This window comes from Homo sapiens, chromosome 14, assembly GCF_000001405.40.
Source record: "Homo sapiens chromosome 14, GRCh38.p14 Primary Assembly".
Lineage (NCBI taxonomy): Eukaryota > Metazoa > Chordata > Mammalia > Primates > Hominidae > Homo > Homo sapiens.
This window is the reverse complement of record NC_000014.9, coordinates 103,183,832-103,194,983: the sequence shown is the minus strand read 5'-3', so window position 1 is coordinate 103,194,983 and position 11,152 is coordinate 103,183,832. Positions and strand designations below refer to the sequence as shown.

At 48.4% G+C, this 11,152-nt stretch overlaps 1 long non-coding RNA gene and 1 pseudogene across 1 annotated transcript, besides 1 other annotated feature; one reads left to right on the top strand and one right to left on the bottom strand.

The window, feature by feature from the left end:
* Positions 5,838 to 5,887: a silencer, noted in NCBI's record as "silent region_6147". NCBI's record gives its function as "represses an Ori minimal core promoter by ATAC-STARR-seq in GM12878 lymphoblastoid cells {active_cell/tissue: GM12878}" and the evidence as "EXISTENCE:reporter gene assay evidence [ECO:0000049][PMID:35858748]".
* Positions 5,956 to 7,763, top strand: LINC00605 (long intergenic non-protein coding RNA 605). Its single transcript, NR_033938.1, has 3 exons — positions 5,956 to 6,392; positions 6,537 to 6,607; positions 6,714 to 7,763. It is a non-coding gene; the product is annotated as a long intergenic non-protein coding RNA 605 (long non-coding RNA).
* Positions 9,913 to 10,827, bottom strand: GCSHP2 (GCSH pseudogene 2; annotated as a pseudogene).

Below are 11,152 nucleotides of genomic sequence, written 5' to 3'. Positions count from 1 at the left end.
ATGATCTGCCCGCGTCGGCCTCCCAAAGTGCTGGGATTACAGGCGGGAGCAACCGCGCCTGGCCAGTGCCATACTCTTAAACCATCAGATCTCATGAGAACTCACTCGCTATCAGAAGAGCAGCAAGGGAGAAATCCACCACCATGATCCAATCACCTCTCGCCCGGTCCCTTCCCTGACACATTCGGATTACAATTCGAGATGAGATTTGGGTGGCAACACAGAGCCAAACCATGTTTTCTCCAGTGACCCAGGGGACCCTGTTCCCTGCTTCGGGCATCTCACAGGCTATACCCCTTCCTCCATCTACTCCACAAGCAAACTTCAGGCCTTCAAATAAAGTGCCATGCTCATTGTAGTATTGATGTATTCCTCAACAATTTAGCATGTAAAACCCTTCTACCCTCTTTATTAGGTTCCTATCATTTAAAAAAATTGTGTCACTGATGGGGTGTTTTGAGTGTCCTTCCCCAACCTCGTTTTTTCCTTGTAAGTCCTGTGGTTTTTATTGTGCAATTTTGCATAGCCCAGCGCATTTTAGGAATGTGTTTGTTGCATCATAGCCAAGTTGATATATCTGATCTGTTGAGTGACTGAACCAATGCTCGTCTTCCTGAATTAAACCCTAATTTAGGCTGGTATATTTTATATATATATAATTTTTTTTTAAGACAGAGTCTCCCTCTGTCACCCAGGCTGGAATGCAGTGGCATGATCTTGGCTCACTGCAACCTCCACCTCCTGAGCTCAAGTGATTCTCATGTCTCAGCCTCCCAAGTAGCCGGGATTACAGGCACCTGCCACCACGTCCATATAATTTTTGTATTTTTGGTAGAGATGGGGTTTCACCATGTTGGCCATGCTGGTCTCGAACTCCTGACCTCAAGTGATCCGTCTGCCTTGGCCTCCCAAAGTGCTGGGATTACAGTCGTGAGCCACCATACCCAGGCTGCCTGGCCTATTTTTCTAATATTCTAATGAAATGAATTTGCTAATTGCTTGTTGAGGCTCTTTACAGCTGAAAAGCTTACAGCATAACATGGAACAATGTAGTGTTAATGTAAGGAGAGGAAAGACCCAGTAAGTGACAGCCTCCTTCCTCCTGCCCAAGACCCAACCAGTCCAGAAATAACATGACAAACGGGACTCAAGAACATGCACATGAAAGCGCCAGCTTTGTCACAGATCACGTCTGGGCTGGAGCAGATAACTTTGGTGGCTGCACCATGGATCTTCTTATTCCTACATCACAGATTTGGTCTCACTGACCAGAGTTAGGCAGCCCCAGTGGGAATTCCTGTTTCGGGAAGTCAGGGACCGCGAACGGAGGGACCAGCTGGAGCCGCGGCAGAGGAACATAAATTGTGAGGATTTCATGGACATTTATCAGTTCCCAAATAATACTTTTATAATTTCTTATGCCTGTCTTTACTTTAATCTCTTAATCCTGTTATCTTCGTAAGCTGAGGATGTATGTCACCTCAGTACCACTGTGATAATTGTGTTAACTGTACAAGTTGATTATAAAATATGTGTGTTTGAACAATATGAAATTAGTGCACCTTGAAAAAGAACATAATAACAGCGATTTTTAGGGAACAAGGAAAGACAAACATAAGGTCTGACTGCCTGCAGGGTCGGGCAAAAAGAGCCATATTTTTCTTCTTGCAGAGAGCCTATAAATGGACATGCAAGTAGGGAAGATATCACTAAATTCTTTTCCTAACAAGGAATATTAATATTAATACCCTGGGAAAGGAATGAGTTCCTGGGGGGAGATCTATAAACGGCCATTCTGGGAATGTCTGTCTTATGCGGTTGAGATAAGGACTGAGATACACCCTGGTCTCCTGCAGTACCCTCAGGCTTACTAGGGTTAGGAAACTCCACCCTGGTAAATTTGTGGTCAGACCAGTTCTCTGCTCTTGCACCCTGTTTTCTGTTGTTTAAGATGTTTATCAAGACAGTACGTGCACCGCTGAACATAGACCCTCATCAGTAGTTCTGCTTTTGCCCTTTGTCCTGTTCCCTCAGAAGCATGTGATCTTTGTACCTACTCCCTGTTCTTACACCCCCTCCTCTTTTGAAACCCTCAATAAAAACTTGCTGGTCTGAGACTCAGGCGGGCATCACAGTCCTACTGATATGTGATGTCATCCCCAGCGGCCCAGCTGTAAAATTCTTCTCTTTGTACTGTCCCTCTATGTTTCTCAGCTGGCTGACACTTGTGGAAAATAGAAAGAACTTACGTTGAAATATTGGTGGTGAGTTCCCCCAGTAAGTTCCCTCTTGAAGTTCATCACAGGGAACTGCAGGTCAGAACGTGAGCTTCCTGCAGGCGGCAAGTGCCACCCATATCCCAGGGGCTCCTCTGTCCCTATCTCCTGACCTCATCTTACTCCACAGGCCTGGCTGGGCCAGGAAGCCTTGGACTCCTCTCTGAGCCTTTGGCCCTATGCCAGAGAGAATCCCTCTGCCCTCCAGGTCTCTTCCCAATTGGGAGGAAACTGGGGTCTTAGTGCCTCTGGGCATGGGGAGGGAATGGCATTCCTGGGAAATAAGCAGCTGCTACTGGCGTCAGTGGGGAGTGACTGCAGAGACTTCTGGGAGGACCAGACAGAGGCCCGCTCTGGGAACACTGGAAATGCCACAACCATGCTGAGGAGTTTCTGCCAATGGGCACAACAGTGTAGACAAAACAGTGTAGACAAACGGCACAACAGTGTAGACAAACAGGATGGAACCACCACAAGACAAGTGGTTATTTCCTTCCCAACAATAAAGTAGGTCAGATAACTTGAAAAATCTTTTGAGGCTAGACATTCTGAATTAAATATTACAAAATCCATTCTTGCATAGATGCAACTGGGGAAAAAAAGGAAATCTTCCAAACAACAAAGCTGCTGGAAACGTACGTGGCCACTGACGCTGATGCAGCTGCTGCCCCAGAGGAATTCCTCATCTCAGGAGCCCTGAGCTCTGGCTGTAAAGGAGACTAGGACTTCCACACAGGTGTGCATCCTAGAAGGGCCATATATATATATATACATATATACATATATACATATATACATATACATATATACATATATACATATACATATATACATATATACATATATATATATATATATATATATATATATATATATATATATATACACACACTCAGTGAAAAGGTGAATTCATTTTGCGACCATCAGCAAGCAGAGGTGAGAAAGAAATTTTTCTACCCAGGGCTCTCACTAAGACAAACAATAAAAGTGTCTCCCCTAAGATTTGTGACAGGTTCCCCATCCTCTTGTGTGTTTGGATTTAAACTGAACATCATTTTTTTTGAGGCCCTGGAACCAACAAGCTAAGAAATCAATATTAAGTGCCCAGGCTGAAAGATGCTTATAGGGCCACACAGCAATGGAAGCCAGCTGCTCTGGAGTGGTCCGCCTTCCCTCGAGGCCAAGAGCAAGCCAGAACAACCTCATTTTCAGGCTGTAAGATTAGCAGATAGAAGATATAACATAAATATTATTTAAAAACAATGAGTTACTAAATAAAAATACTGGCTTGGGCTCAGCACGGTGGCTTATGCATGCCCAGGGAGGAGGATCACTTGAGCCCAGGAGTTGAAGACCAGCCTGAGCAACATAGCAAGACCCCCTCTCTGCAAAAAAAAAAAAAAAAAAAAGGGTTTTAAAAATTACCAGGCTGATTACATTAAAGGCGTTGAACAAAAATAAACAAAAACTGACAGGGTGCATTGGCACATGTAATCTCACCTTCTTGGGAGGCTGAGGCAGGAGGATCACCTGAACCCAGCAGTTCAAGGCTGCAGTGAGCTATGATCCTGTCACTGAACTTTAGTCTGGGTGATGGATTGAGGCCCCGTCTCAAAAACAAAACTAAACTAACTTTTGTAGAATACCCTAGCACCCAAGGTCAGAAGGAACAGGAACTGATATGGGTTTCAGTCTGTCTTCTCGGGGCGGCAGCTGCTCCTGAAGTTCCCTTCCTCGTGGCCTACCCTGTGGACACGACTCCAGCATCAGACCCGGAGACTCCCCACAAGTTCCCCATTAGATCCATCTTGCTTGAGTTCCACTTGGAATATTCGACCTGGAAAAGGCAGGTGCGGTGCCTCACGAAGCCCACTGGACGCAGCTGACCCTTCCACATTTCTCCCAGACACGCTCTCTGTCCCTCTAGGGTCACTGCCTCAGGAGCTGAGCATTTCTAGACAAGTCAGGTGAAGGGACTGTCATGGCTGCCACTTTACACCATAGATGTGTGAGTGTACATATGTGTGTACATATATGTCCGTATCCTCAACGAGGGCCAAAGTATCCAGTTTCTAACTCTAAGTGTGTTCTTAAATGAACTAGGTACAGGACGGAAAAAGACTGAAGCCTGCCTTGGGTTTGTGGTGAACTGCTGTATTAGTCCGTTTTCATGTGCTATAAAGAACTGCCTGAGACTGGGTAATTTATAAGGGAAAGAGGTTTAATTGACTCACAGTTCAGCATGGCTGGGGAGGCCTCAGGAAACTTACAATCATGGCGGAAGGCAAAGGGAAAGCAAGGGACCTTCTCCACAAGGCAGCAAGGAGAGGTGCTGAGCAATGGGAAGAGCCCCTTATAAAGCCATCAGATCTCGTGAGAACTCACTATCACGAGAACAGCATGGGGAAAACCGCCCCCATGATTCAATGACCTCCATCTGGTCTCCCCCTTGACACGTGGGGATTATGGGGATTACAATTCCAGACGAGATTTGGGTGGGGACACAAAACCTAACAGATCACTTGCTTAAGGGAAGCTTTGTCTACTCTAAACCAGATTGCAGAGGTCTTTTGTTTGTCCCCCTTGGGGTTTTCCACCAAGGGGCCCTGGGCCTTTGGGTTGAGCTGGGTGGGCCTTTCCCTGTACAGGCGGAGGAAGCAAGTGCAAGGTGAGCGGTGGGAGAACCTGCAAGGCCCCTGCTCCCAGGGGAAGGGGAGGCGGGCTTCAGGGGAGTGTCCATATGGGCGCCCAGAAACTGGAAACTGCGTCCCTGAAGGCTGCAAGCCCTCTGGGCAGTTCGGGTCACCCCGGCTGAAGAAGGGCGTTGAAGACACATGGAAAAGGTGGTGGGAGAGGACTGAGTTGAAACCCAGGCCCCGAGTGGAAGAGCCTGCTGGAGGCCACAGGAGCCCGTTCCCCAACCTGAAGCCCTGGAGACGGCCCGGCTTGAGAGGGCGAGGGCCCACAGCGGGGACCCAACTCACTTCTTCGTTCCCACCTGCCCTGGGGTCCGACGGGAAGCGGGGACGGGGAGCGGGTGGGGTCCGACGGGAAGCGAGGACGGGGAGCGGGTGGGGTCAGACGGGAAGCGGGGACGGGGAGCGGGTGGGGTCAGACGGGAAGCGGCGACGGGATGCTGGTGGGGGGACCCCCGCGCTCTCCGGGCGACCCTCTGCAGCCTCTACTCTGCCCCGTCTGTCATCTTCTCCCGACCCGGCGACCCCGTTCTCCCCCTCGCCCCTCATTCCCCGGGACTGTCCTTCTTAACAGCGCCCTTCACCCCGCCCGGCCCGCGAGGTAGTCCTCAGCAGGGGACAAGGTCCGGACGTGGCGCCCCCAGAAGGAGCGCGGAGAGCCCCTGGGACCCAGTCCCGCCAGGTACGCATCAGGGGCGGAGCTGGACTCGGGGGGCGGGGCTGGGGAGAGGGTGGCCCCTGCACACTAGTCCCCTCCCCTCGACCCCGCAGCCCCGCGGCGCGTTTCCTGAGGCGCCCCCGCCACGTCCCGCGAGTCTCTGCCAAGTTCCCGCGCGGGTGCGCCCCGGTCGCGCCCTCCCTGCGCCCGCCCAGGCCTGGGGAGCTCTGTGGGTGGAAGCCGGCGCCCCCTGGGGGCACCCGGGCGTGGCGAGGGCCTCGGCGGTCGGGAGGCCTCTGCGGGGCAGCGGTCGGGAGCGAGGCCACGGGGCGCCAGGTACAGCCGGCGGGACGTCCAGTGCCAGCGCAGGAGCCGGGCGAGGCCGTGGCCTCCAGGGTTCCTGGGCGGAGGACAAGGCGCGCAGCCGCGTTGGCGCGAGTTTTAAATCGGTGCCTTCTCAGCTTTGCAAGTTCTTATCAATTGCTGCATGCCAGAGGAAGTTTTTAAAAAATGGCCCCCAGCTCTATTGCGGTGTAATTGATGGATAGAAATTGTATTTATTTAAGGTGAACAGCTGGATGATGTGATGGAGGCACGCAGGGTGGAGGGGTTACCACAGTCTAGGTACTCTACACATCCAGAGCCTCCCACAGTTGACAAATGGATTTTCCTAATCAGTTTCGTCGTGTTTTGTACTTAAGTTGAGGATTCCACACCGTGTGGTACTTTCAGAAGAGATGTAGTGGTGAATCAATCGCAACGGTAAGGGGAGCAGACCTGGACATCTGATACTTGATCAGCAATTCACCTTGCCTGAAAATGTTTTGACTTTGTTTCATGTTCCAAGTGCCGAAATGATCGCACGCCTCGTTAGAAGTTGAACGTTACTCTTTTCTTCAAATGCAGGTTGTGATGTTTTCCTAATTAGGTATTGAGAATTACCATTGGTATTTGGAATTAGATTGCGGAGCATTTAGGTAAATTCCTTGAGTTTTTCCACAGTATTTCATCTCAATTACAGTACAGATTTCAATATAGACACATTGTATTTCATGCTTTTTTTCTTTTTTTTTTTTCCCCCAGGAACCGTTCTCGCTATGTTGCCCAGGCTGGTCTTGAACTCCTCAGCTGAAATGAGCCTCCCACCTCGGCCTCCCAAAGTGCTGGGATTACAGGCGTCCCCTCTGCCCCAGTACTGTTTCCTCTCCCCAGCCCAGCCCCCACAGCTGCCTGCCCTGGCCTCACTCCCTGGCCTCCCCCATCCCAGCCTCTGGGTCCCTGAGTCAGTCCCTGGGGCTGTCTGCCTTCTAGGGGAGCCTCTGGTGTGGACCAGAAAGTAACCTAATCCCTTCCAGGCCCACCCTGGAAACAAAGGGATTTGTCCACTAGCCTGGTGGTGAGAACCATGTGGCCTCCTGTCTCTGGCAGAGAGGACTCCAGGATCAAGGGCAGGTAAAAGGAGGAGCCTCCTGGGGAGCTTCAGAAGGAGGGTCCCAAGTCCCTCCTGCCCCACTTCTGTGCCTGGGTCACTCACACCCCTGCCTGACTCTAGCCCCCCTTCTCCAGGGGTCTCCACAACATGTGAATCATGCCCAGCGTCTTCCATTACACCCTTGATAAAGTCCTCTCCTCACCAGGACCTCTGTCATTTTACCTCATGGTTTTGAAATAATTTTTGGTCTTCTTAGCAGTTTAAAAATATTGTTTTGTTTTTTTTCCTGAGTTTGGAGCATTCCTGTTACTAATTACATTTTTTTTTTAGACAGGTGTACACTACTACACCCAGCTAATTTGTTTTGTTTTGTTTTGTTTTGGTAGAGATAGGATCTTGCTATGGTACCCAGGCTGGTCTTCAACTCCTGGGCTCAAGCAATCCTCCTGCATTGGCCTCCCAAAGTGCTGGAATTACAGGCATGAGGCAGCACGCCCAGCCCTAATTACTTCTATTACGCCAAATTCCTTGTGTGGAATTCCTGTGCTTTGCACACAAATTGCCAGGTTGGCCCCAAAGGGGAAAAAAGTGGATCCCATTTTCCCATCTTCTATGCCTACGTGGCTGACAAATCTCCCGAATCCCACAGGAGCTGTCGCTGATCTTTGTCCTCTATTCGCTGAAATAAAGTTCACCATGGATTTCTGCTTCTTTTATTCATTGTCAGTCCACACATAGGGACAAATTCCTGTGCTCTCATTAGAAAGCCATTTGCTAAGTGAGAACTCCGGGGAGGCCAGGCCTGAAGGAGAGCTTGCTGTCAGTCATTTCGATCAGGGACGGGGCAGAGTCCATTGTCACAGGTGGAGCTGCCCAGCCATTCCCCGCCCCTAGGAAGTCTGGGCTGACTGGGGGAGGGAGTGCTTAGAAGGGGACCCCTGGGGGTTGAGGTGTCTTTGCTGCGTATTTCCCTGTTATCAGTGTCGAAGTTAAATACAGAGATGAATCCTCAAAATTAAAATGTTTTATTTGGGGAAAGAAGTGTAATTTGTGGATATCTGTAGCGTGAGTGGTCTTTAGGATGTCCAAAGAATGAAGAAAGGCTGGAGGTTTTATAAAGAGGAGAAATATTACTACTGCTCTTTAAGAAAGCTCATTGGCACTGGTGAGTTTGGGGAGCTGGCAAGCTCCGACTGATGAGTGAGGGCAGAGGGTAAAACGAGTCGTGTCAGCAGGTTGTTTAGTAGGCATTAGGTAAACTGGTTTCAGGTGGCAGCAGTTTCAGCAGCCGGTCTTACAGAGAATGACATTCTTGGAGAAATTCTATGTGCCCTGAGTGCTCCTTCCCGCTGGCCTCTTGACCCTTGGTTGGGTGGGACAAGAATGACCCAATTTGTGTGATTAGCTTTACATTTTTCTCTTTTGATCAAGATATTTCTCTGAAAGCATCGCTAACCAGCCGTTCTGCAGCCAGGCTTATCTGTCCCTGGGGCTGTAATGGGCTTGTGCCAGCTGTCTCTGTCCCACATTGGAGGGAACATGGCGGGGTCTAAGTCAGCAACCTGGGCCACATTTGTGTAATAACGAGGCCAGAAGGAAAAAATGTCTCAAAGCAGTTACTTTTTTTCTTTCTTTCTTTCTTTCCTTTTTGAGATGTAGTTTTGCTCTTGTAGTCCAGGCTGGAGTGCAGTGGCACTATCTTGGCTCACTGCAACCTCTGCCTCCTGGTTTCATGCGATTCTTCTGCCTCAGCCTCCTGAATAGCTGGAATTACAGGCATGCGCCACCACCCCCAGCTGATTTTTTTCCTCTCTCTCTCTCTCTCTCTTTTTTTTTTTTTTTTGTAGAGACAGGGTTTCACCATGTCGGCCAGGCTGGTCTTGAACTCCTGACTTCAGGTGATCTGCCCGCCTCAGCCTCCCAAAGTGCTGGGGTTGCAGGCGTGAACCACTGCACCTGGCCTCAAAGCAGTTTCATCTGGAGTCCAGTATTACATTTTATTTCATCTGCTTTGTAGGCATTAGTCATTATCTGGAGGTGTTGAGCAAGTATTATCCTGTTAGGAGAGTTGGCTTCGTTGAGATTAGACAGGCACTAAGAACAACATTTAAAAATTATAATGAAAAAATTGGCAACAATATAATAAACTTAGTTCGTAGAAGTGGTTTTGAACTAACAGCCCCAGCCTAAGGGCAACAAATTAAACAAAAGGCCATGGAGGAGACTGGGCCAGGCCTGTGATAGCCACTGAGAAGTATTTCATACAGGATCGAATTAATCACTACTTTGTGAACGCCAGGTTTATAAAAGGGACCACCAGTACAATTTGAACAAAAAACTGTGTTAGGGAAAATGCCAAATTTGCCCACTAGGTGGACTAAAAGGATTTCTTTTTTTTTTTTTTTTAGGTCAGGTTTTCTCAAGTTACCTATAGCAGTTACTTATTGTGAAATTTTAATTATAGCATTATCCTGCCAAATGAAGAATGGCATTGAGAGGGTGAGAGTCTCATTATTATATGGAGCCTTATAACAACGTCTTCGGAAAACCTGCTTTTTTAGGTTTCTTTTTCAATTTTTGTTTTTAAATAGTGAGGTCTCATCATGTTGCCCAGGCTGAAGTTTAACTCCTCTCGCCTCGGCCTTCCAAGTAGCTGGGACTACAGGCACCATGGCTGCTGGAACAGCTGTTTTTAGCAGGGAAAACGTCAACTGCTCCTCTTGGTTTGTGGTTTGATTGTCTCTGATTACGGCATCGTGCAATTTGGTGAACTTTTGGTGTGGTTCATATATCAGGCATAAGACTTGTTTTTTACTTTATTAATTTTGTTTTTTATTTTTATATTTTAAATTATTTCATACTAGTTTATTTAGGGGTTATTTTCACTCCTCAATAGATTTTTCCGTATTTTTTATAAGCTTCTTCACTCATAAGTTCATCTAGTTCTTTTTTTTTTTTTTTTTTTTTTTTTTTTGAGACAGTTTTGCTCTTGTTGCCCAGGCTGGAGTGCAGTGGCATGATCTTGGCTCACTGCAACCTCTGCCTCCTGGGTTCAAGTGATTCTCTTGCCTCAGCCTCCTGAGTAGCTGGGATTACAGGCAACTGCCACCACGCCCAGCTAAATTTTGTATTTTAGTGGAGATGGGGTTTCGCCACGTTGGCCAGGCTGGTCTCAAACTCCTAACCTCAGATTATCCACCTGCCTCAGCCTCTCAAAGTGCTGGGATTACAGGTGTGAGCCACTGCGCCCGGCCAAGTTCACCTAGTTCTGAAGAGTTACTCAGTGTCATCTTGATCGGCCAAACATTTTTATAACAAGATTTGTCAATAAGTTCTGTATTTTCTGCAAGAGCTTCATTAATTTCAGTTACTTCTCCTGATAAAGGAGAATGGAGTTCATGAACAGCTTTCACACTTTCCAAAGCACCAAATTCATCTTGTTTGTTCAATTTTGTCCCAGCTTCAGGCAGACTACAGTAAAAACATCTCCCAATACTTCCTGTGCAAAATGCCTGATTCCCACGGTTCCCATACCATTTCTTGTTGTTCTCCAACCACGTTTCCCCGAGAATTCATGCACCGAGAGCAGGGCGGGTTCCACGCACAAACCGTGCCCATCCCCAGCCACCAAGGCCTCAGCCGGTGAGGCATGGCAGGTGCCAAGGCCCCGCTCAAGCTGCAGCCCACAGCCCACCCACACTGCGCCACTCAGTGCCATGTTCGTAGGGAGGGGTGCAGAGGGTCTCCACGCTGCACTTTGGTCACTGTTTGTTTTTGTTTTTGTTTTTCTAGGGACAGGGTCTTGCTCTGTTGCCCAGGATGGAGGTGCAGTGGTGCAATCCTAATTTACTGCAGGCTTGAAGTAGCTGGGACTATAGGCGTGTGCCACCACACCCAGCTAACTTATTTTTTGTAGAGACAGAGATCTCGCTATGTTGCCCAGGCTGGAGTGCAGTGACATGATCATAGCTCACTGCAGCCTAACTCCTGGGCTCAAGTGATTCTCCCACCTCAGCCTCCCAAGCAGCTGAGACTACAGGTATTAATATATGCCATAGCACCTGGCTAATTCGTTTTATTTTATTATTTG